Source organism: Homo sapiens, chromosome 4 (genome assembly GCF_000001405.40).
Source record: "Homo sapiens chromosome 4, GRCh38.p14 Primary Assembly".
Lineage (NCBI taxonomy): Eukaryota > Metazoa > Chordata > Mammalia > Primates > Hominidae > Homo > Homo sapiens.
The window spans coordinates 172,931,371-172,958,419 of record NC_000004.12 but is presented as its reverse complement, the minus strand read 5'-3'; the positions used below and the strand labels follow the sequence as shown (position 1 = coordinate 172,958,419).

Genomic DNA, 27,049 nt, shown 5'->3' with positions numbered 1-27,049 from the left:
TAGAGACTACCCCCACCCTAGCTCTCCCTGACTCATCCCAACCCTTTCCATTACCCACAGCCAAAGTGCAGGGCTGTGCAGTCGGAATTCTTACACAAGGACCAGGACCGCACCCTGTAGGCTTTTTATCCAAACAACTTGACCTTACTGTTTTGCCTAGCCCTCAAGTCTGCGTGCAGCGGCTGATGCTGCCCTAATACTTTTAGAGGCCCTTAGAATCACAAACTATGCTCAACTCATTCTCTACAGTTCTCATAACTTCCAAAATCTATTTTCTTCCTCACACCTGACACATACACTTTCTGCTCCCTGGCTCCTTCAGCTGTACTCACTCTTTGTTGAGTCTCCCACAGTTACCATTGTTTCTGGCCCGGACTTCAATCCGGCCTCCTACATTATTCCTGATACCACACCTGACCCCCATGACTGTATCTCTCTAATCCACCTGACATTCACTCCATTTCCCCATATTCTTTCATGTTCCTCACCCTGAACAGACTTGGTTTATTGATGGCAGTTCCACCAGGCCTAATCACCACTCACCAGCAAAGGCAGGCTATGCTATATTATCTTCCACATCTATCATTGAGGCTACTGCTCTGCCCCCCTCCACTACCTCTCAGCAAGCCGAACTCATTGCCTTAAATCAAGCCCTCACTCTTGCAAAAGGACTACACGTCAATATTTATACTGACTCTAAATATGCCTTCCATATCCTGCACCACCATGCAAGAGGTTTTCTCACTACACAAGTGTCCTCTATCATTAATGCCTCTTTAATAAAAACGCTTCTCAAAGCCGCTTTACTTCCAAAGGAAGCTAGAGTCATTCACTGCAAAGGCCATCAGAAGGCATCAGATCCTATCGCTCAGGACAATGCTTATGCTGATAAGATAGCTAAAAAAGCAGCTAGCGTTGCAACTTCTATTCCTCACTTTCAGTTTTTCTCCTTCTCATCTGACCACTCCCACCTACTGCCCCGCTGCCCTGCTGAAACTTCCACCTATCAGTCTCTTCCCACACAAGACAAATGGTTCTTAGACCGAGGAAAATATCTCCTTCCAGCCACACAGGCCCATTCTATTCTGTCATCATTTCATAACCTCTTCCATGTAGGTTACAAGCCACTAGCCCATTTCTTAGAACCTCTTATTTCCTTTTCATCATGGAAATCTATCCTCAAGGAAATCACTTCTCAGTGTTCCATCCGCTATTCTACTACTCCTCAGGGATTATTCAGGCCCCCTCCCTTCCCTACACATCAAGCTCGGGGATTTGCTCCCGCCCAGGACTGGCAAATTGGCTTTACTCAACATGCCCTGAGTCAGGAAACTATAAAATACCTCTTGGTCTAGGTAGACACTTTCACTGGATAGGTAGAGGCCTTTCCCACAGGGTCTAAGAAGGCCACCACGGTCATCTCTTCTCTTCTGTCAGACGTAATTCCTCGGTTTGGCCTTCCCACCTCTATACAGTCCTATAACAGATCGGCCTTTACTAGTCAAATCACCCAAGCAGTTTCTCAGGCTCTTGGTATTCAGTGGAAACTTCATATCCCTTACTGTCCTCAATCTTCAGGAAAGGTAGAATGGACAAATGGTCTTTTAAAGACACACCTCACCAAGCTCAGCCTCCAACTTAAAAAGGACTGGACAATACTTTTACCTCTTTCCCTTCTCATAATTCAGGCCTGTCCTCAGAATGCTACAAGGTACAGCCCATTTGAGCTCCTGTATAGACGCTTCTTTTTATTAGGCCCCAGCCTCATTCCAGACACCAGACCAACTTGGACTGTGCCCCAAAAAACTTGTCATCCCTACTGTCTTCTGTCTAGTCATACTCCTATTCACTGTTCTCAGAAAAACTGCCGGTTTTCACTGCTTCTCCAAGCCATCACAGCTGATATCTCCTGGTGCTATCCCCAAACCGCCACTCTTGACTCCCTCTTAAAGTAAATAAATAATCTTTGCTGGCAGGGCTATGCTGAATCTCCTTAGGCACTCTCTAATTAGATGTCCTAGGTCTTCCCAATTCTTAGTCCTTTAATACCTGTTTTTCTCCTTGTCTTATTCCATTTAGTTTTTCAGTTCATACAAAACCATATCCAGGCCATCACCAATAATTCTATATGACAAATGTTTCTTCTAACAACCCCACAATATCACCCCTTACCACAAAATCTTCCTTCAGCTTAATCTCTCACCCTCTAGGTTCCCACGCCACTCCTAATCCTGCTCGAAGCAGCCCTGAGAAACATCGCGCATTATCTCTCCATACCACCCCCCAAAAATTTTGCCGCCCCACCACTTCAACACTATTTTGTTTTATTTTTCTTATTAATATAAGAAGATGGGAATGTCAGGCCTCTGAGCCAAAGCTAAGCCATCATATTCCCTGTGACCTGCACGTACACATCCAGATGGCTGGTTCCTGCCTTAACTTGATGACATTCCACCACAAAAGAAGTGAAAATGGCCTGTTCCTGCCTTAACTGATGACATTACCTTGTGAAATTCATTTTCCTGGCTCATCCTGGCTCAGAAGATCCCCCACTGAGCACCTTGTGACCCCCACCCGTGCCAGCCAGAGAACAACCCCCCCTTTGACTGTAATTTTCCTTTACCTACCCAAATCCTATAAAACGGCCCCACCCCTATCTCCCTTCTTTTCGGACTCAGCCCACTTGCACTCAGGTGAAAGAAACAGCCTTGTTGCTCACACAAAGCCTGTTTGGTGGTGTCTTCACAGGGACGCGAGTGAAAGTAAATATAAAATGTTAACATTAGAAGAATGTAAATTTAAAATTATTCCAAAATAAAAAGCTTATTTTAAGAAATCCTCTGAAAGGCAAAAGAAATCGCATGTGTCAACATTTTGAAAGTCTTTTTTTTTGTCAGAGATTAAGTTGCTCAACACATATATTCTGCACTTTTAATAATTTTTTATCCTTTTTTTTTTCTTTTTATTTTGAGACAGTCTCACTCTGTCACCCAGGCTGGAGTGCAGTGGCACCTCCCGGGTTCAAGCGATTCTCCTACCTCAGCCTCCCGAGTAGCTGGGATTACAGGCACATGCCACCATGCCCAGCTAATTTTTGTATTTTTAGTAGAGATAGGGTTTCACCATGTTGGCTAGGCTGGTCTCGAACTCCTGACCTCAGGTGATCCACCCACCTCTGCCTCCCAAAGTGCTGGGATTACAGGCGTGAACCACCGTGCCCAGCCTAGCCACTCTTAAAAATATTATTACCCACCTAGAGTTAGAAAATAATCTTTTTTCATTATTTCATTTTGATTAAGCTGCATTTCAAATCCTTCACTTGCCTCCTGCATTAAATGTACATGTTTCACTTATACTCTCAGAGATCTATTCTCCCTGAGAATTAGATACTTTTAAAAACTAGTATTTAACAGTGCAAACCCTTGTCTTTTATTGATTTCCTTTCTTCTTGCCTTCCTCCCATCCTCTATGTCTTCATTCTTGCTATGCATCACATCTTCACCGAACAAATTCAACTGAATGCAACTGGCCCATAAACTATGTCCCCATTTTCTTCTTTCCTAAACCTAAATATGACCTTTATTTGTTTACTGTTCTGAGGCTTTGGGGAAAGAAATTTGCCATTTGTGTTAAAAAAGAAAAAAAAATCTGTTGCCGGGTGTGGTGGCTCATGCTTGCGATTCCAGCACTTGGGGAGGCTGAGGTGAGATGAATAATTGAGGCCAGGAGTTCAAGATCAGCATGGGCAACATATTGAGACCTAGTCTCTACAAAAAATTTAAAAAATTAGCTGGGACTGGTGGTGTGAATGTGTAGTCTGGGCTACTCAGAAGGCTGAGGTGGGAGGATCACTTGAGTCCAAGAGTTTGAGGCTGCAGTGAGCCATGATCATGCCACTGCACTCCAGCCTGTGTGACAGAGCAAATCCTTGTCTCGGGAAAAATAAAAAATCTGATCTTCTCAACGTCTCATTGTTTAAGCCGGAAATAATGAATGCAAATGTCTCCAGGGATAAGGCAAGTGTTGTAAAAGTATGAGGCAATCTAGGGTAATAGATATAAACACACTGGCATCGCCTACTTGGGCTTAAGATGGTTCTGATTTTGATTATTCCTGGAAGGTTGTACCTTTCCTAGAAACTGAGTGGAAGATTTGAGTCTATTTAGAAAAGGTGCTTATAAATTCAGGTTATGGTTTAATCAGGTACTGTGGGAAAAATGTGACCAGTTGCAGTTTGCAGAACATAGTAACTGGTAGGAAGAAAAATTCACATATCCACATAAGGCAGATAAAAGATTGATGAGATTTTAGCCCTGTAGTGAATCACACAATGATACTGTGGGCTCTTCAAGTGTATTTCTTAGTCACTAGGCAGGACAGCATTTGAATCATCATAGAAAGATGACAAACAGAACCTTATACATAAAAAACAAACAAACAAAAAAAACTGTAGAAGGAACTCACTTCCCATGCCTTCCAACACGTTAGGATTAAGAAAATTCTTTTCAAATTTCCACTGCTGTGAATTGAGTCTGTGGTAGACAGTTAAATTAATACAAGCAGGCTAATATTACTAATATTCTAGGGATGTTTTAATAAAATGTTTAAGATGCAAAGGATGAGACCAAATTAATAACTTGAATTAAGCAGACAATGTCAGGATGACATACACATGCAAAAACCATGAGGAGATGGAGGGTGTAGTGGCAGGATTGACTCTTTCCTTCATCCTGGGTGTCCCAGGTATGAAGAGTGACCCTCTGAACACAACAAGCAGTGCACCTGTGACTTGCTGAACACGTCTTCTACAGGGATCTGGAACAGCTCACCCAGGAACACTGCCTGAGTCCTCTGGCCTCTCCTACCATGCCCTGGGGTAGCCTTTTCTCAGAGCTCTGCAGCCACAGACACTATCTAGGCAATGGCATCTTCTTTCAGAGACTAGAAAACCAAGGACACTGATGATACTCTTCCACAATGCGAGACAATCAACTCTTGATTTCTGAAAGGCTGGAGAAGTGGGACGGTGTGAACATCTAGCCTTCATGCATTTCCCCCGATATCCTCTGTTAAGAGCAGGTTGAATTGCTAGGATAAATCCACCCTATCCAATTTTAGTCCTGCTTTAGCACACTCTATTCTACGGAGAAAGGCTATAGCAACAGTATTGAATGGAACCGAACCCAGTGCAATAGTCTTTTCTATGCCAAAAGATAGATATTTTAAATTTGGGACCTGGGGCTATTTAGCTTTTTCCATTCTATTTCCACTGAATAGAAGTGTTCAGAGGTGGAAAGGTTGGTGCTTATTTAAAGAATCAATGTGGCTGCCTGTGTCACAGTTCTGTATATTATGGAAATGCATTTCTTCATGACTCTGCATAGCATAGCCTGGAGGGGAAAATAGCCAGGCCCCTCATTGCCTTGTACTTGCATATACCAATAGCAGCAAGGCTGTGCACCAGGACAGAGGGTTTTTATCACGTATATCAGGTGCCCATATTTACGCACTTGTATGACAGATATATCAATTCTCTACAAACGCCGATGGTGATTTCCCTAATCTCAAATAAAAATATTTTCTAGGTGTATTTTAAAAATTTATGGCCAGGCATAGTGGCTCATGCCTGTAATCCCAAAACTTTGGGAGGCCAAGGCAGGAGGATCACCTGAGGTCAGGAGTTTGAGACTAGCCTGGCCAAAATGGCAAAACCCCGTCTCTACTAAAAATACAAAAATTAGCTGAGTGTCGTGGTGTGCACCTATAATTCCAGCTACTCAGGAGGCTGGGGTAGGAGAATCGTTTGAACCTGGGAAGTGGAGGTTGCAGTGAGCCAAGATCACGCCATTGCATTCCAGCCTGGAAGACAGAGCGAGACTCCATCTCAAAAAAAACAAAAACAAAAACAAAAACAAACAAACAAAAATCATCTGGGGAATCAACAGTGGTCACTAATTCTGGGTTAGGCTATCAACTCTGAAGCTAAATCTAGTAATTGCTAAAAAGAGGTTGAACATTCATGTATTTGAGATGATTTAAATGAATGCTACTTGGCTGCAGGGTAAAAGTGAAGGTTTTAGCAGTCCCTCCCACCACCTGAGGCTATGGGGGAGGCACACAGTCTCATAGGTAGGCGCAGGTTTCAGGCAACCTTTCCTCACCTCCCCCCAGGCAGCAGGCGGGGGCTCCACTGGAGGGTAGTATTTAGGCACGTCCCAGGCCACAGCAGCCATGAACCATTTGAAGTCCTTGCACTTGAGCTGCTTGCGCAGCTCCTTCTGGGCAGAGATGTCCCCCGTGGAGAGATGCCTGTACTCCGGCCGCCGCTGGTAAATGTACTCGGCAAATTCATCCATCCAGGTCTCAGCTACCCGCTTCAGGTTCTGTGCAGCAGGAAAACAAAAATGTCATTTATTGGTTTATTCATTCAAAAGGTGTTTTTTGTTGCACCAGAAATTGAAAAAAGAAAAGGAAAAGATAGCGGCAACCTCAGGCAGCCCTGGTTGGTGGTTTATGAACAATGAGAGTTTTAGTAACAGCAAGGGGTATGATATAATTAGCCTGTGGCTTCACACACATTTCTACTTCTGGCATGGGGTTCAATTGCCAATTTGGTAGTTAATTTATCAGAGCCAGTAAAGATTCAGCTCACTATTACATCAGCTTTCTCATTCCCTCTGTTATTTCATGATTATACATTTTTTATTTTTTACATTAAACTAAAGGTGTTGAAACTGGAGAGAATGACATTCCTCTCAGGCATTAAATTGCTTAAAGCATTTCCAGAAACAAGAATCTTGGAAAGAATGAGGACAAACAAGCTATTATTCTTTTCCCCCAACTTTAGAGAGATCACCGAGCATTTGTACATTTAAAACTGTGTGTTCTGATGTTCTATGTGTGCAACACAGATATCAATCAGAAATTAGTACTTTACTGCATGATGAAGTGGGGCTAAAGGAAGCACCAAGTAGCCAGTCTTTTCCACAGATGTGTCCCTGGGGTGAAGGAAGCAGAAGGTTGGTGGTGGGGAATAAGCATGGATCTTAGGTGTAGGAGAGTGTATGGATTCAGTGTAGGAAGCTCAGCCCTTTTGTCAGCTTTGGAATTGAGCAAGTTACTCATCCATGCTGGATATCAGATTCCTCACCTGAAAATGGCAACAGTAGCACATACCTGCATCACGGGGGTGGCTGTAGGATTAAGTAAGGCAACACCCGTAAAGCACTTAGAATAAGTCTCTGGCACATAATAGGTACCACAAATAGTAGAGCTATTATTAGCTGCAAAAAGGGTGCAGGATTGGAAATTGGAGAGCCTGGGTGTTGGGCTGGCCACACATTAATGGAACTCTTCTGTGGCCTTTAGGAAAGGCATTAGCTGAGATGAGATGCTCTCTGATGTGCCTTCAGGCTCTATGGTGCTAAACAGTAGAGAGAACAGCTGCATTTGTGTAGAAGATACCAGTTTTGATGCCTCCAGCTTAAATGTGCTGCAGTACATTTTCATAGGCTGGTGTCCCTTAGTCTCTACTTCTTGTGTCCTGTTCAAATTCTTCTTTCAAGTGCCCAGTTGGTGCGAGCATTGACCCACTCCTGTTTCTCACTTGCACTTAGAAGATAAAATGACTGCAATGGTCAGGAACTTTAATGAGAACCAGACATAGGTGACTAAAGTAAAAGCTAGTGATATTTAGGAAAAGTGCTTTATCTTGAAAATGACTACAAAATCCTAATTCAGGCCTGGAACTATGCCCAGAGGTCTGCTGGATTTGGAGACACCATCATTGGTACCTCATTCCTAATGAGACTGTACATTTTCTTACTCCGCTCCATCCACTCCGTGTGTTCAGTGTCTCCCAGCAGGTCTCTCCTGTCTGACCTTGTCCCTGCTCTTCATTCTCTGTGCACTCCTTGGGTGCTTTTGGTGGACGGTGGGCACCAAGAAGGGCTCTGTTAACCCAGTAAGATGCAGAAAAGAGACAGAGCCACAAAGAAAGCTCTGATTTCTCAGTTCCCTCTGTGTTCCTTTCTTTCTAAGGTGCCTGGGTGCATAGATAGGAAGATAGGCTAATGACCTTGAGACTGTGAGAATTGTTCCCTGAGAGATTATTACTTGCCATTGCTGTGCACCCTACCATCCCGTCAGCATTGCCTGGCCCATAACGCTTTCTACTCCTTGGACTCCAGTTTACCTTAACAGACAGATGATCAGAGTCAACATGGTTTTGTAATATTCTAGCCCTTGCCACCAATTCGGAATTGCCTGATTCATTTGGGGACCAGAAAGGAAACAGATGATGTCTTGAGAGTCCTGCTGTGGGATGGCACTGTACTACATACATAAAAACTCAGTGTGAGTCTGTAATATCATCTTACTATTTTCATTTCATTTTGACAAACATTCTGTATGAAATGCATTCTATTTTACTTGTCCTCAGGCCACATTTTCTTTTCTTTTCTTTCTTTCTTTTTTCTTTTTCTTTTCTTTCTTTTTTTCTTTTTTTTTTTTGAGACAGAGTCTCACTGTGTTGCCCAGGCTGGAGTGCAGTGGTGCAATCTTGGCTGACTGCAACCTCTGCCTCCCAGCTTCAAGCGATTCTCCTGCCTCAGCCTCCCACGTAGCTGGGACTACAGGCACGTGCTACCATGCCTGGCTAATTTTTTGTATTTTTAGTAGAGATGGGGTTTCACTGTGTTAGCCAGGAGGGTCTTGATTTCCTGACCTCATGATCCACCCGCGTTGGCCTCCCAAAGTGCTGGGATTACAGCTGTGAGCCAGCGCACCCCGCTAGGCCAAATTTTTTAATGAGGATTAGAATAAAAAAAAACTAGTTGATAATATTAAAACTTTATATTCAAAATTGATTTTAGGCTGTAGTTACCATCTTTTCCCCTAAACTGCAATATTAAATAAAGTGGAAATACTTAATTTTCATCAATTTACACCTCTGTGATAAGTGAAAATGAATACAGTTGGGGAATAGCAAAAAGCAGAAGCAAATGACCTAGTAATAATGAGAAAGTGATTTTCTTAAGAAAAAATATACCTTTAAAATTCTAGTAGCTTGCAGAAAAGATCTGTCCCTCAGGACTCTGTTTTGACTTGGATAAGTAAGCACTTTCAGACCATAAGTGCCATGAAGTTAGGGATAGATCTATTTTTGCCTTAAAAGACCTAGCATCTTGTGTGGTTCCAGAAACGTGTGTGCTCATCTGGACATGCTAATCATTGAATTAATGAAAGACCATATGATGAAATGAATGTGAACAAATTCATAGTGTGCGTATGTATCTATTGATAAAAGCACTGAAATGGGAACAATTGAAAACAAGTGCTGTTGCTAAATGGTAAATTGTTGCTTTGGATTTTTGAAATAGATATGGCAATTATTGCAAAACTCATAGAGGAACTAACTAATTCCGGTGCAGTCAATGGGAAAAGGCTCAGAGGATCATGATAAATGCTAACCAGAATAGGCAATATCAATAAGTAAAAGAGGCAGAAGTCAGCATGTTGGAAAGCTGTCACCAAGGGTCAAGTAGGCTTTAGTATAGTTAACTAGGGAACTAACCAGGTAGCTCTGCATCATCGTGTCCTTTTCAAGTTGAAACACACTAGGTGTGTTGATTTCTCAAACACTCCAAAATGGCCAGGTGCCGTGGCTCATGCTGTAATCCCAGCACTTTGGGAGGCTGAGGCAGGTGGATCACCTAAGATCAGGTGTTTGAGACCAGGCCTGGCCAACATGGTGAAACCCCATCTCTATTTTTATGTAAAAATACAAAAAAAAAAAAAAAATTAGCGAGGCTGGTGGCAGGTGCCTGTAATCCCAGCTACTTGGGAGGCTGAGGCAGGAGAATCACTTGAACCCGAGAGGTGGAGGTTGCAGTGAGCCGAGATCACACCACTGCACTCCAGCCCGGGCAAAAAAAGCAAAACTCTGTCTCAAAGAAAAACAAAACAGCAACAACAACAGCAAAAAGAAAAATCAAACCAAAAAAGCCCCCCTCAAAAAAACCACTCCAAAGCAAGCAGTTGGATCATGGACATATTCCAAGGATCATGTGAAATCATCGATTCCTTTTCTGTAGTTTTACAAGAGATGGTAAAACAGAAACAACATAATAATTGCAAAGATGGCAATAACAAGTTTCCCTCTAGCTATAAGTGTTACATAAACATTTAAACATAAGTAAAACATCCTGACCATTCTCTAATGTCCCCATTGGCTCATTAGACATTTTGGATTATAGATGCCTGTTCTCCAGAATTTACTATCAGGAGAAACTTTCTAAAGTGTCAATTATTATATTCAAGGAATAGCCCTCACTCCTCAACTAACCAGGTGGCTGGCCAAATAAAATCTTTCTGAGGTCAGTATTCTGGAAATAATAAAACATTGTGTTAGTTTGTCACTGGAATCATAAATCAGTACTTAGTTTTGGGGAAAACATTGGTACCACAGCTGAGAAATATTGCAAACAGTTGCAAAAAGAGAGTTTCATTGGTCTTTTATAGACTGTACAATAAATTGACCCACTCCAGGAAATAGGAAAATCATATACTCATTGGAGTTCGTCAGGGTATTTATATAGGAGCACGCATACCACACATTCACATACACAGAGATAGTGGAATAGGAGCAAAGCAATGTTTCTCACTTGAACACTTACGGCTGTGTAAACATGTGCAGAATCATGAAATGGAAACATTCCAATAACAGCTTGTGCCAGAGATGGTAAAAGAGAAAATAAATCAATCTGAGTAGTCCTATCTTTCTCTGAGATTGAATGGACATTGGTGGACCTGCTAAGATGTCCAAAAAAAAAAAAAATTTATCAAGGGGAAAGAAAGAGTCAAGCATGAATGCCGGGAGATCTATACATGTAATCATTTACTCTTGAACTATCAGATGTTGCATCTCTAGAGGTTGCCTTATATACAGAGCCAGGTGTTAGCTGGAGTTCTTGTTTTTTTGAGGTTTAAATAAAAATACTTTAACCTCAAATTGCATGTCCCTGTCCTCCTGAAGATTTCTGTGGATTCCCAGGGGTGTTCACACATTCATCCTTCACTTCAGTTTTCTGTTTGTGATCCCTCTCTCCTCCTGGCATCTTGCCCCCAGCTTGCTGTCTACCTTCTGTCCTGCAGAGACTTGAATGGGGTGGGGTGCACAGGTATTTTCCCTCATCTCTCAAATGTCTCTCGGTGCATCAACTGGGCATAACTTTTACTGAAGATTTTCAGGCAGTAGCAGAGACTTAGATAACAAAACAGCATAGATGATAATGTAAGATGAAGTATTTGACCCCTTGGATTCTTTTCCCTTGGCTGCTAAAGGGAATTTCTCCCTGGCTAAAATTTCCTCCTTCTGTCTTTTAGCTTCCTGCCATGGTTCTGCTCAACTCAAAAATCTCTCTCTTACGTCTCTTTTGTGGGGCTGTACCAGAATGTTAAAATTTCTTCTCCCTTTTCGTGCCCGGCAATTCATCTTTCTCATTGTTTGTCCTTGCTTATCCTGGGCAAACCATGTTGGCTGCTTTTCCATAACCAAAATGGATTGCTGAACAGGATAATTCTCCACATAGAAACTGTTGTTTGGAGCATCTTCTGTGTACAAGATGTTAACAGTATTCTCTATTTTTATGTCACCTGTCTGTGGTTCTTTGTGTGTCACAAATGTTCCTCTATTCAACCCAAACTGGCATTAATCTCTCTTTTCTGTGTTGCTCAAATATTTATCAACACATTCAGCCTTTCATTAGAGGTCTTTAGAATTCTAGTCTTGTTTTCTTTGTGCTATCCAACACTAAATCTTTCCTTAATTCTAATACACGTCAGGTCTTTGAATTGATATTTTACCAGGAACATTAAATGACATTTCTAGCTCAGTTTATAAGAACAGATTTCCAGCTTGACTGATCACTGTTGGTGTACAGCATGAGGAAAATAGATAGTTCAATTTTTCCTGCTGGCTTGTGAAACTGCATAAATCTATCCACTAATTATTATTATTTTTACCAGCAACATTTTAGATCTTACTGCTAGACTATTCAATCCCTGTTCAGTTTCTCAGTGTATTATTTGGGAGTCAACTGTATTTGTATTATTTGGGCCATCTTACCTCAGTAGAGTGTTTCTATTTCTTTGTGCAAGGTGTGATTATTACATGTGTCCTGGCAAGATCCCGCTTCTCAAATTGTGCTTGTGTCAATATTAAGCTATTGTATTATGGTGGATTGTGTTATAGTGAATCCTCTTTCTTCACACACACACACACACACACACACACGCTTTTTCCCCAAAACTAGTGATAACTAGTAAAGCCAGTCCCAAACAGAAACAGTTTCTAATTTGTCACAGTCACTCCTACAGCAAGGAGGTGTATCCATATCCCATGATTTTAAATTTCTGCTTTTATTTGAATGTATTTCTTGTCTCCTCTTTGATGCTTAAGAGTGCTTTTGTGGCTCAGTAGTCCCACCCCACAGCCCTTTTATCATTGATAATATGATAATGTCATCATGGGTACAGCTCAAAAGAGATTGTCTTTAAGGCAGCCCCAACCTCACTACAATTATTCAGCCTAGCTCTACTTTTCTCTGATCTGAGCACTTCTTTGAAGTCAGTGGGAAACTTTCAGCATAAGGAGAGGAGGCTAATCTAGTCCTACAAACAGAGCTTCTCTGACAGGCAATTTCCTTTTCCTTCTTCCCCAAGGCTGTGTGAGCTGTTTGTAGGTGGTTATCTTCTTTGGGCTGTCATGAACAAGGGTTAGCTTTCTCTTTGATTTTATATCTCTATTGTATTTTTGCCCAAATATTTTGGATATCTATGGTGGTGTTTATGATGGCATTTAATGTAGCCTTTAGATATAAGACAAACAAACAAACAAAAACCCCAAATGAGCTAACAATGTGTCTTAAAAAATGCTGGTAAGCCTAATTTAAAAATCAGCTTTATCGAGGAATAGTTGATATACAAGAAACTGCTCATATTTAAAGTGAATAGTTTGGTATATGTTGACATATGTATATACTATATTAGTGGAATCATCAACACTATCAAGATAAGGAACATGTCCATCACCTGCAAAGGTTTCTTTATGCCTCTTTGAAATCCCTTTCCCGATCTCCTTTCTGTGGCATTTCTATGTCCCCAGACAACCACTGATGTACTTTTTTTCACTATAGTTTAATTTGTATTTTTTAGAATTTTATATAAATAGAATCATACAGTATGTGCTCTTTTTGTCTGGCTTCTTTCACTTAGTATAAGTATTTTGATCTTTATCCATGTAGCTGCAGCTGCATGTATTCATTCTTATAGTATTCTTTTTTTTTCTTTTTTTTTTTTTTGAGATGGAATTTTGCTCTTTTTGCCCAGGCTGGAGTGCAATGGTGTGATCTTGGCTCACTGCAACCTCCACCTCCTGGGATCAAGTGATTCTCCTGCCTCAGCCTCCCAAGTAGCTGGGATTACAGGCGCATGCCACCATGCCTGGCTACTTTCGTATTTTTTTTAGTAGAGACGGGGTTTCACCATGTTGGTCAGGCTGGTCTTGAACTCCTGACCTCAGGTGATCCTCCTGTCTCAGCCTCCCAAAGTGCTGGGATTATAGGCATGAGCCACCGTGCCCAGCCCATTCTTATTGTATTCTATCACATGAAAAAACTACAATTTGTTTCTCCATTTACCTGTTGATGAACACTTGGGTTGTTTCCAGTTTGGGGCTATTACAAATAAAGCTGTATGAACAGTCTTGTACAAGTCTTTTATGGACATTTGCCTTCATTTCTCCTGGATAAAAATCTTGAAGTGGAATGGCTAGGTTGTACTCTAGGTATGTGTCTAACTTTTAAAAAAATCTGAATTGTTTTCCAAAGTGGTTGTACCATTTTACATTCCCATTAGCATTGTATGAGATTTCCAGTTACTCCAACATGTGGTGTGGTCAGTCTTTTTAATTTTGGCCATTATAAAAGCATGCAGTAGCATCTCATTGTGGTTTTAATTTATATTTTCCTAATGACTAATGATGTTAATCATTTTTTCATGTCCTTATTTGCCACCTGAGTATCTTCTTTGGTAAAATGTCTTTCAAATCATTTACCCATTTTAAAAATTGGGCCGTTTTACTTATTATTAAAATTTGAGAATTCTTTATGTATTATGGATACAAACCTTTGGCCAGAAATGTGATTTGCAAATATCTCTTTTCAGTCCTTGTCTTTTTATTCTCTTAACAGTGCCTTTGAAAAATAGGTGGTTTTAATTTCAATGAAGTTCAATTTGTCAATTTTTTTCTATGGTGTCATACCTAAGAAATTTTTGCTTAATCTCAAAAAATTTTTCTTCTTTGTTTTTGTATTCTAGAAATGTTATAATTGTATCCTTTACATTTAAAGTCTATGATTGATTTTGTATTAATTTTTGTATGTGGTGCAAGATACAGATTGATGTTTATTTACTTCTCTGGATATGAACATCTAATTGTTCTAGCATCAATTGTTGAAAAAATAATGTTTTCTCCAATGTATACCTTTATACCTTTATGTAAATCAACTGACCATTTGAAGAATCCATTTCTGGGCTCTCTCTTCTCTTCCAGAAATAGATTCTTGCATATATCAATCAGGTTGTGTGTTTGTTGTTGCTAAGTTGTAGGAGTTCTTTCTATATTCTGGATATTAAGCACTTATCAGATGTATGATTTGCATTTTTTTCTCTCATTCTGTGAGCTGGATTTTCATTCTGTGAACAGTGTCCTTTGGTGTACAAGCTTGCCTAATTTTTGAGCTTCAAATGTGCCACCTGAGGTAATCATGTCCCTGAAGATAAAATTAGTCTGAATGTTGCTGATGAAAGACTATTAAGCAGAAACAACTGTATTCATTACCTATTGATAAATAACACCCTATCTCACACCTGAGCGGCTTAAAACAATAAAAAACATTTTTTATCCTTCACAGTTTCTGTGGGTCAGGAACTTGGGAATAAAATAGGCTGTACAATCCGGATCAGATTTCTCATGAGTTCCAGTCAGATTTTGGCTGAGGTAGCAGTAATCTTAAGCCTTTGACGGGGCTGGAAGATCTTTTTCCAAGGTGGCTCACTCAGTGTCTGTCAAACTGGTGCTTGCTATGAGTGCTGAGTAGGAGGACTTGGCTTGCTTTCTGCGACATGGGCCATTCTACAGGGCTGCTTGAGTATCCTCATGACTTGGTGCTGGCTTCTCCCAAAGCAAGTCATCCAAGAGAACAAGGAGAAAGCTGTAATGCCTGTTATGCCCTACCCTTGGAAGTAAAAAAAAAAAAAAAAGGATAATAGGACTAAAGTGAAAGTATGGTTGCCAATTTTCATGTATCCCTTAAGATTGTACTTGTTTGTTTTGGCTGGGTGTGAGGGTCAGAGTATGCTGGAATAATTTTACGTGATTGATTTTTTGAAACCCTGGAAAAGTGGAGATAATCAGAAGCTGGAACCGTTGAAGAGAGACCACAGAAACACAGGTCATTTGTGTCCAAGTGAGTATGTATGGCCCACAGGTAGGAGACAGTCATCTTGACTGAGTCTACTCAGGACCCAGAGAAGTTCTGGCACTTTAATGACTGAAGTCTTGGTTCCTCCAGACTCAGCATTGTGAGCTAGTGGTTGATGCTTCTGTGAGTGGTGGTGGAGGTGTGCCTTCACCTACAGCTTCATGGGCAGGAAACAGAGGCAAGCGAAAGCAGAAACAAAAGAAGCAAATCCGGGGCGGTGCAGCATGGGTATGCTTCTGACAAGTGGGTGCACAAGCATATGCGATGGAGGCTTTTGGGAATGTCTACAGATGGTTGGGGGACAATCTGAATGGTGTTCTTCCTGGTAATCAAGCCAATGGTGCCTCATGTCATCACAACTTAGGTATAAAATGAAGTACGACCTTATTTCTAGATGATTATCATTAATCCATTTGATATTTTTAAAAAATCACAACCAGCATTTTCTAATCATCACCCAAAGAGATTATCAAGAGTTTGGTTCCCTCACAAGAACATCCACAGCAAGCATTCAAACAAACTGTGGTTGAACTAAAAGGTGCTATAGCATTTATTCCAATTATTATTAATAGACCTTGTTTTATTTCCCAGACTTTCAAACAGGCAGAAAATAAAATCCCCATGTTTCTAAATGCCCATGACAGGGGTCTTAGATTACAAATTATATCTGTCCAAGTTGTAAGTAATCTGCAAAATTTTATTTCTAGAAACTGTTTTCAGAATTAGAACACCCAGAAGCATCCATACACCACAAAGCTGCCATTTTGTTTTTGACCATTTCTCAGTTTACAAAATAGCAACTAGAACTACTTTCTGTATCTCAACTGGCACTAAAATGGAGATACACTTGGGCTGGAATTGCAGTTGGAAATGGAATTCTTGGCATGAACTAATAAACCATCAGAAACATGGAGGATTGGAATGGGAATGAAATTGCAGAGGCCCCAAGCACAGTGGTACTGTGCATTCACACATCTCATGGGAAGAAGTTAATTCCATGAAATGAGTCCCTACCATCCAGGTGCTCCCATGGCTTAGACGTGGGATTGGGGTCCTGGAAGACAGTTATTAAATGGCCAGCCCTACTCGTCTTTGCAAGAGTTGCATTTTCGGTTATTGAGATTATGGCATGCTAAAATATTTGAGTTTGCTTAAATTTCAGCAGCTTAATTTTGTAGCAGCAGGGACCTTCTTTGTCGGAGCCAGCATTCTCCTTTATGAGGCTCTAGTGGAATTGTGAATACAGGGAAATGGTCAGTTCTAATGGGGATAATGATAAAAATGCAATTAAAATTCTCTCTAGTCCACAAACTGGTCTCACCATGTAGTTTGTTTCTCAAGTGCTTTGAAAAAAGAAAGTTATGTAAATGCTCAATAACCGCCTGAAATGCCAAGGTCTCCAGGTAGGAGAGTGAATAACCAAAACAAACTGGAAAAGATCCCATAGGAAGTGGAAGATAAATCCCATTTTAATTTCATTAAGAATGACAAAGTGAAAGTAATGATTAATCATGATAGCTTGTTATTATGCAATTATCTGGGATCACTATTCAGATATTCTATTTACATTATAAAATATCCCAATAGGCATAAACAAAAGCTAACATAAAATCTTGGTCCTCATGTGATAGCTCAAGAAATGCTTAATATTGTCCCCATAGCTTGGGGACTACCTGACTCAATTACAAGCTCTCTTTTGCACAATGGAAAGCATCAGATAATTGAATCACAAGTCATAACTGAGCTGAAAATTGGGAAAGCACAATGGAATATTTGAAAAATTTAAATTAAGCAAAATTCCTTAATGTTGGGAAGAATATAACATCTGTGAGAGCTTTTGAGGAAAAAATATTTAGAGTAAATAAGTTGGAAGAAACTAAATTTAAAAAATAGTTTTGAGGCTGTACATGGTGGCTTATGCCTATAATCCCACAACTTTGGGAGGTTGAGGCTGGAGGATTGCTTGAGGCCTCCTGGAGTTTGAGACCAGCCTTAGCAACATAGTGAGACCCCGTCTCTACCAAAAATACAAAAATTAGCCAGGCATGATGGCGTGTGCCTGTAGTCCCAGCTACCTAGGAGGCTGAGATGGAGGATGGCTTGAGCTTGGGAGTTCCAGGTTGCAGTGAGCACAGATTGCACCACAGCACTTCAGCCTGGGCAATAGAGTGAGACCCTGTCTCTAAATAATAATAATAATAATAATAAAATGTTGGCCGGGTGTGGTGGCTTGCGCCTGTAATCCCAGCACTTTGGGAGGCTGAGGCAGGTAGATCATGAGGTCAAGAGATCGAGACCATCCTGGCCAACATGGTGAAAGCCCGTCTCTACTAAAATTACAAAAATTAGCTGGGCATGGTGGCGTGCACCTGTAGTCCCAGCTACTTGGGAGGCTGAGGCAGGAGAATCACTTGAACCCCAGAGGCAGAGGTTGCAGTGAGCCAAGATCACGCCACTTCACTCCAGCCTGGGTGACAGGGTGGGACTCCATTTCAAAAAAAAAAAGAAAATTACTTTCTGTATTCTATAAATAAATGATTCCTAGTTGGGAAGTGGAATTAGGTTTGAGTTCATATGTGTTTACTGCAACCAGTCCATAGTGTTTTTTAAATATTATTTCATGTATCAGTGGCCAACTTTACCTTCTAGGTAAAGTGAGACTCCATCTCAAAAAAAAAAAAAAAAAAGTTTTGCGAGGTTTTGTGGGAAATTACCAAGTTTGAAAATAACGTTGTCTTTACCTCACATATTTTTTTCATGATACTTGCAAATGGCAAGAGGCTGTACCTGCCAGCAATTTGCTATTTTACTTTCTTTTTTAGTGTCTATGTTTGATATGAAAAAAATCTATGCTTTACCTCCATATTGTTTAAAATTTTTAAAAGTAATGTGGGATTCTATCGTTATTTGTTAAACTAACAAAATATATAGTTTAAAAATTCTGATGCCATCGGGTTAGGAATTAAGGCAGTAGATGAGGGTTGAGTGGCAAATAAATTTGTGTTTCTCACACAATTTTCTCATTTCTTCTCTGTGGGTCCTTGGCTGACAGAATGGTTTCCCTTGGCCTTATTTTTCTCATGGTTAGCACAAGCAGGAAATGCCCAGTGTTTAAAAAGGAGGATTGAAGGGTGAGTGAGTGCTCTACCAGTGTTGTCTACCAGAAATTCATCCCCAGTGCAGGGGATGCCCCAAGGTGAGGTGACGTTACATCACAAAGGGGCGGCTTGATCTAACTGGCAAGGCCCAATGCTATTTGCTTAGGATATGTAGCATGCTGTGTGCATTTCTGCCTGGCACATAGTAGGCACTTGATAAATATTTATTAATAGGATTTATCTAGCCTGAGACTTCTCTGAGGTTAGAGATGACATTTATCTTTATAGCATGCAATGAACTCATAGTATTTAATGATTTATTGAATCATTATTGTCACATTAATTTATGATTGACTTTTAGAGAGGATATCAATCATAGAGAATAATGAAACATTATTTATGGAAGATGCCTTGATTTTTAAAATAAAAAGCTCCTTCTAAGTAGAGGGTGTTATATTTTATGTTGTTTTGTTTTATTTTTGATACAGGGTCTCACATTGTCACCCAGGCTGGAGGGCAGTGGCTTGATCATGGCTCACTGCAGCCTTGACTTCCCGGGCTCAAGTAATCCTCTCTTCTCAGCCTCTCAAGTAGCTGGGACTATAGGCACATGCCACCACACCCAGGTAACTTTAAAAAAAAAAACTTTTTTAAAGCTGGGGCCTTGCTATGTTGCCCAGCCTGTTCTCAAGTGATCCTCCTGCATCAGCCTCCTGAGGCACTGGGATTACAGGCATGAGCCACTATGCCTGTCCTGAGGTATTATATTTTAAACTGTGACCAAGTCAGGAGAGAAGCAAACATATAATTGCAGTATGTGAATCATCTTTAGTTTTGAGCAAAAGTATTAGACAGCCTTATTGCCCTTTAGGTTATATTGTAAGGAAGAATTAGAGAAAGTTATTGCTTTCAGAATTGCCTCTGCACAAAAGTCCTAGCCATTTATGAGGGCTGAGTTTTGAGGGAAGATCTATCATTTCCTGCTTTTTGGGAGAAAACCCATGATAGGCCACCATGCCCCTGAACTCAGTGATGGTTTCAAATAGAGCATCTGAACCCTGCAGTTTTAAGAGCAGGAGAGAGAAGTGGTGCTGCTGTTGTTGTCCAAGGTTATCGTGCCACAAGCTCTTGTATGCTGGGCAGCTTTAAGAGAGTACAGTGATTTACAGTCATCGGGAGAGAAAGGTCAATTTGAGGGAGTATAGATTTCCCATTCATCACCACCATACTTTATAACCTTGTTGGTGATTTTATTTTCAGATATCAAACTAGTCATTTTGGTTTTGTTAATGCTTTTCCTCAGCTGATATCTTTTTCTGACATAAACAAGGGCGAGTTGCGTTTGCCTGACATTGTGCTCTTTTATTTCAGCTATTTCAGATGGGAAAGCTGACACCATGGTCAACAATGAAGAAGCATTTATTAATCGACTTGGGGTGGTCTGGCTTTTACATTGAAGCCCTCCTCCTCCACCTCCTCCTCCTCCCTTTCTCTATGCCTCTCCCAACCTCCATCATTTTCAAGAGTCTGAGAGGATCTATGGAATCAGCAGAGCTGGATGTCACCAGGGAGATGGCACAGGAAGGAAGAAAGGCATCTTGGGAAGTATATAAAGAAGTCGTTTCACAGCTTACAGAGGCACAACCACAATTCTCCCTCAGACCTCAGACTTAGAACTTTGTGCCTGTGAAGTATAATAACCATAGGAAATTGTCAAAGGTTGTTACACTTTGCTAAGAAACCCTAGGTAAATGCATAAAGTCAAAAACATTTGTAACTTGTATGTAGATTAGCCTATTGGGTCATTAAACATAATTTGTTAATATCAAATATATATGGCTATATATAAAATAATGCTATATGCTATATAGGGCATATATTTCTCTTTTGTTACATCATAATCTCAATTATAATATGACAGTCTATTAAAAAACAATTTCCAAATAGTGAACTATATAAGATACAGATTTCATTCCATAATGAGCTTTATTATTTTCATTTAACCCTTTTCTCATCCTCATGATATTCTGGCATTGGAATACGTGGATTACTGCTGCATGGTGTGGACTGTACGTTACTGTCAAGGCCATTTATTAAGAGGAATTGAGATTTGTGTTTAACTTGTTCATCACTTAAACTTCCAGGGCCTAGCACACTGACTGGCACAGTAAGCATTTCTTTTTTCAGAAGTAAACATTTATTTGCCAAAGAAAATCTGTCAAAAGTTTTTGTGTGCTCTCAGAATTCTGGATGGAAAATCTGTGGGTATCTCCCCAGATCTGGCTGCCCCAGGCTATCCCAGGCTGTCACTTAACCTTATCTAAAACCAATCTCAGTCTCTTCCCCTTTCCTCTTCCTCCCTTCCCTGTTTTTGTACTGATACTATTTTCTCTGGGATGCTGAGATGGAAAGCTCATAGTCACATGTGAGCCCCACCTCCGTGCACAGTGTAGCAAATCAATAAAAATATTTTATGATTTTTTTTTTTACAAATGCTCCTTGCATTCGAAATGTTAATTTCTTTAGACTTTCTTTAGACTTTCTCCATTTTAATAATTATTTGTTGGTTGACCTTTCTATTTTACCTCTGCTATTTTTATCCTGATACTTCCTGTTCAAGGCCCTACAGTCAAGGAGTAAAGGTCAACACTGTGATCTGCATCCAGGGTCTTCCAAGGCTAACTCCACAGGTCCTACGCACACCCTCCGTAACTCTCTGCCTGCCCATTTCTACTTGGTACTCTGCTAAACTGGTGCCCTACCAGAGATGCCCAGGCTGCTCCAGTTTATCTCAAGCACTCTAGAAGAAACATTATGGTGAGGAGCATGAACCTCGACCAGACAGACCTCGGTTCATAGACCCAGCTCTACTCCTTTACCATTTAACCTCTATCCCTTTTACTCTAAGTTAACATTTTCAGGACCTGGGAAGCAGCCTGTACAATTTGGCTTTTATGAGATTTGACTTCAGTTTTAGCTCCTATCCTGAAACTAGAAAAAAATTTAAAGTCTCCCATGTTCTTGGATGGTTCTTATAGTTAGTTCTCCTTGAAGAGGTCCTTCACATCCCTGTAAGTTGTATTCCTGGGTATTTTATTCTCTTAGTAACAATTGTGAATGGGCGTTCACTCACAATTTGGCTCTCTATTATTGGTGTATAGGAATGCTTGTGATTTTTGCACATAGATTTTGTATCCTGAGACTTTGCTAAAGTTTCCTATCAGCTTAAGGAGATTTTGGGCTGAGACGGTGGGGTTTTCTAAATACACAATCATGTCATCTGCAAACAGAGACAATTTGACTTCCTCTTTTCCTATTTGAATACTCTATTTCTTTCTCTTGCCTGATTGCCCTGGCCAGAGCTTCCAATACTATGTTGGAGTGGTGAGAGAGGGTATCCTTGTCTTGTGCTGGTTTTCAAAGGGAATGCTTCCAGCGTTTGCCCATTTAGTATGATATTGCTGTAGGTTTGTCATAAATAGCTCTCATTATTTTGAGATACGTTCCATCGATACCTAGTTTATTGAGAGTTTTCAGAATGAAGGGGTGTTGAATTTTGTCGAAGGCCTTTTCTGCATATATTGAGATAATCGTGTGGTTTTTGTCGTTGGTTCTGCTTATGTGATGGATTATGTTTATTGATTTGCGTATGTTGAGCAGCCTTGCATCCCAGGTATGAAGCCAACTTGATCATGGTGGATAAGCTTTATGATGTGCTGCTGGATTTGGTTTGCCAGTATTTTATTGAGGATTTTCACATCGATGTTCATTAGGGATATTGGCCAGAAAGTTTCTTTTTTTGTGGTGTCTCTGCCAGGTTTTGGTATCAGGATGATGCTGGCCTCATAAAATGAGTTACGGAGGATTCCCTCTCTATCTATTTTTTGGAATAGTTTCAGAAGGAATGGTATTAGCTCCTCTTTGTACCTCTGGTAGAATTTGGCTGTGAATCCGTCTGGTCCTGGACTTTTTTGGTTGGTAGGCTATTAATTACTGCCTCAATTTCAGACCTTGTTATTGGTCTATTCAGGGATTTGACTTCTTCCTGGTTTAGACTTGGGAGGGTATATGTGTCCAGGAATTTATCCATTTCTTCCAGATTTTCTAGTTTATTTGGGTAGAGGTGTTTATAGTATTAGCTGATGGTAGTTTGTATTTCTGTGGGATCAGTGGTAATATCCCCTTTATCATTTTTTTATTGCATCTATTTAGTTCTTCTCTCTTTTCTTCTTTATTAGTCAGCTAGCAGTCTACCTATTTTGTTGATCTTTTCAAAAAACCAGCTCCTGGATTCATTGATTTTTTTGAAGGTTTTTTGGTATCTCTATCTCCTTCAGTTCTGCTCTGATTTTAGTTATTTCTTGTCTCTGCTAGCTTTTGAATTTGTTTGCTCTTGCTTCTCTAGTTATTTTAATTTTGATATTAGGGTGAAATTTTAAAATGAAAAAATTACTGATACTATGTCAGAGGTGAAATACAGCAGTATACAGATTTGCATTCTCTGATGTTTCTTACAGACTAGGGGTAAGGGTTGGTTCTAACCTTGTCTTGTATTGGCGAGGGTGGCTGTGTGCACTTCCAGGACTGCCCCACTCACAGTCTGCAGGGCAGCGCTCTGGCGTGGTGACCCTCCAAGGAAACTCTCATGGGCCAAGTTGTTCCCATGAAGACCACTGCTGTGTGATAATCAGCTGGTATGTTTAGCCGTGGGGTGACTGCTCTCCACTTCTGACATGTCCCTGCTGTTACAGCCACCTGTCACAGATCCAGTGGCTTTGATTGTTCCTGAACACACTGACATTCACAGAGGAGTTTGTGGACTGTCCCCATAGGTGCCAGTAATAGCTGCTCCTTCAGCACAGTGCTTGGCTCACATAAAAACCTGTTGGAATGAAGAGAAGAATCTCTTCTTTGAGATTCTTCCACCTATTTGCCACTCAGCCTCCTTGGGCTGTGCAAAGCGACACTCAGTGGACCTTTGCTGAGGAGCTGCTCACGCTTCTGTGAAGCAGAAGGGATGATTGTCACCACAGCCCTGCTGTCTTTCTAGTCTCCCTGCAACTCTAGACATGAGCATCCCTTCCCTCAGTGACTTGCTGCTTGTTCCTTGTGGCAAGACACCACAACCGTGTCCCAGTGTGCTGACAATAGGCCCCGAGCTGACTCAGTAAAACTGTCTAGGCTTATTAATGTCAAGTGAATACGCTTATTCCCAGATGAAGCTGAAGTGTAAGTTATGGTGTCCTAGGTTTTTACATTTTGTGGGAAATGACAAAGTGATGCTGATTTTTGTTTTTGCCAAATAAGGGCACTAACAAAAATTTACTGTCTTGCATTCTATTTTTTTTTCAATGAAAAAAACCTTATAGTTTCTGCATAAAAAGATGTTATTAAGTTGAACAGGTTTATCTTTGGGATTATCATTTTTCTTAGTTCACTGAGGCTGGGTGAAATATTAGTCAGGAATTGGTTCATCCTGAGTTTGGAAACCACTGTTATATGAAACTCGTTAATTCAGTGGACATATTCTTGAAGGTCCTCTTTCAAGTCCTTTAATTTGAGAGGACTGAAGAAGGTCACAGCTATGACGCTACTTCCTCCTCTTCCCTCTACCTATACATGTCCTTACGATACATTTAAGCAGTTACTTGCCTTGTACTGTCCTCTAATGGTTTCATATATGGATATCCTGTCTTTTGCAACCAGATTCTAATGCCAGGTAAATAGAAGGTACTGAAGAACTAATTTTACAAATGTATTTCTATAGTATACACCAACCAGTAGGCTGTTTAAGGCTGTTCAGACATTTGTGTGTCTATGTGTGTGTTTAAATATTTTGGAAGTCTTTTGGAATCATCAATGTGAAAAGTGCACATTTTTGAAGAATTAATTGAGCTTTGTAGAGTAAGAAAATAAGCCTTTGGAGTCAAGTCTCCACCTTCATCTCCATTTCCTGATGAGGCTGCAAGATTAAAATATCAGTTGAGTAGACGTGGCCCTGCATTTGAAGTATATATAAAGTCTCTCTTCATTTTTGATGATATGGTAATAATGTAGCATGTAGCGAGGTAGTTGAGGTGCTCCCACAAAATATCAGAATTGTTTTTCATTTTAATGTACTTTTTTTAACTTAAAAAAACCATAAAATGTTTCTCAGAGTGACAGTCAAGCTTTAATATTTATGACTTTCTGATTGCTCTAGCAGTTTAGAAAAAAAAATAAAAATGAGCTCTGAAGTAAAATTTGAGTGGAAAAGATTAAAATTCAGAATTATGGACTTTTTTCAGTTGAATAAATATTCACTTTTTCCTGGAAGTTTTATGTGCCAACCCCAGTTTCTCTGTATTTGACAATCCTTGAAAAAGTACTTAATTTCTTTCTTGAAAATATATGAACAGTTTTATTTTTTTGAAAATAGCTCCTTTTGGATCAGCACAGCATTCCCCTGCAAGCTTTTACACTCTACTTTAGACTACGAAGCAAGCATACACACCCATTGTCTTGGAAGGATGGTTCTTTTCAGAGCACAAGCAGGGGAGCATATGAGTGAATAAAAGTGGATACATGAGAGAACATTATTATCTTTAGGATATTTTAAACTGCTATGATTTATTATATCTACCCAGCTGATTGGTGACATGTGCTCTAAATTGTTCAATCATTTACTTTCCTGTGAACTATTGTTTTCTGATTCATATGTCTTAAGTCTTATGACTAAATCAAACCATATTTCCTTACCCAAATTCAGCTCTTTAATTACTTTATGATTTTGTGACTGCTTTTTCCCTTCAAATAGTGTATTTTGACAGCTACTTAGAGGAATATGTTTTAGCATCTAATTAAAATTTTAATTTAGTTAGGAAAGCAGGAATATTACTACAGGTTGGGCATCCATAATCTGAAAATATAAAATACAAAATGCTCCAAAATCCAAAACTCTTTGAGTGCTAACACGATGCCACAAATAGAAAATTCCACACATAAGTACTAACGCAAATTTGGTTTCATGCACAAAATTATTAAAAATATTGTATAAAATTACCTTCAGGCCATGTATATAAGGTGTATGTGAAACATAAATGAATTTTGTGTTTAGACTTGGGTCTTATCCCCAAGATATCTCATTATGTATATGTGAATATCCCAAAATCTGGAAAAAATCTGAAATCTGAAAGACTCTTGGTCCTAAGCAGTTTGGATGAGGGATACTCAGCCTGTATTTCCATTCAAGGTGTGTGTAAGGTAATGTTATTACTAGGAGCTCTAATTGCTGTTAGAGAATATGGATGTAGCTAAAGAGAAATGGACAGTTGATGAATACTCTCAGAAAGGGAAAAAGGAAGAACAACTCCCCCCGCCCCACAAAGATTCACTGTAAAAGAAAATTTTGTTATACTCATTAAAAAGTATTTAAGTTTTAGTAACAACTTAAATCTCCAGCATTTTCCTCTCTTAGCTTTCCTGATTAATTAATTCTTTCAACAAATATCTGAGTGTTCCCTAAGCCCCGTTTTAGGTTCTGAGAGTACAGCGGTAACTAACACAGACCAAAGCTCTACCCTTGTGTTACTGATACTCTAATGATTCCTGGTGAATTCGTTTATTTATTTTTACAAAAGCTTGTTATGTGAGCCTTATATAAAAGATCCAAATAGTTATATCTTGCAGCCTTATTAGTAAAAGAACCAAAATGAATAATTCAGGATTTGATTTCTAGGGTAGCAGTGTGATAAAATTCTCTTTTTCTAGATTTCGATTCTCAGCAGTAGCAGGTACATATGGTGGTGACAAAAACTGACCCAGCCCTGAAGAAAGTAATATGGAAAGCAGAGAAATTGTCAGGATTATTTGGAGATGGTATTGTGAGTCCGTTCTCCTAAACAAGCATAAAAATGTTTCAAACGGCAGAAGAGAAGAGCATCTTTGCATCTGGTTTACAAGAAAGGTTTTATTCAAAACAATATTGGAAAAAAATCTTAAGACTGAGCCAATTTTGAAATGTTGAGGATGGGGCAAAATTTGAGGCAGAGCTGGCCCTAGTTATGAAAGAGAAGAAGGCAGAGTTTGGACATCCACCTTTTCCCATCTCCCATTTACCCCTTTTTCCATCTGACTTATTACAGATCCTGCTACACTCCATGTGGGTGGAGAGAACTGGCTGCCCCAGGTCCGCGGACCTACTCTGCTATTTGGCATTCATGTGAGCATGAACAAGCACCTAGTTCAGACTTCATTTTCCCATCTACAAAATAAAGACAAGAACACAGACCTCAGAAGGTAATGGTGAAGATTAAATATAATGTATGTGAAAATGCTTTGAACCAATTTGTAACAAGAAATAGCATTATAGTTAATACTTCTTTAAGCAATGGAAATAAGACTCTGAGAAGCACAGGAGCTCTCTGT

At 39.9% G+C, this 27,049-nt stretch overlaps 1 protein-coding gene and 1 long non-coding RNA gene across 9 annotated transcripts in view; one reads left to right on the top strand and one right to left on the bottom strand.

Annotated features, from left to right (window-relative positions):
• GALNTL6 (polypeptide N-acetylgalactosaminyltransferase like 6) overlaps positions 1 to 27,049 on the bottom strand; it is a 1,228,156-nt gene that overhangs the window by 83,140 nt on the left and 1,117,967 nt on the right. For 7 of the 8 annotated variants that reach the window (NM_001034845.3, XM_017008244.3, XM_011531993.3 and 4 more), the window contains one exon: positions 6,162 to 6,383. In NM_001034845.3, the coding sequence (NP_001030017.2) occupies positions 6,162 to 6,383 (222 nt within the window). Of the gene's footprint in view, positions 1 to 6,161; positions 6,384 to 10,002; positions 10,089 to 27,049 lie in introns of those variants that run through there. The other variant, XM_017008243.3, reaches the window with a different exon arrangement.
• On the top strand, positions 19,227 to 26,914 carry LOC107986201 (uncharacterized). Its single transcript, XR_001741451.1, has 3 exons — positions 19,227 to 19,269; positions 20,015 to 20,390; positions 26,767 to 26,914. It is a non-coding gene; the product is annotated as an uncharacterized LOC107986201 (long non-coding RNA).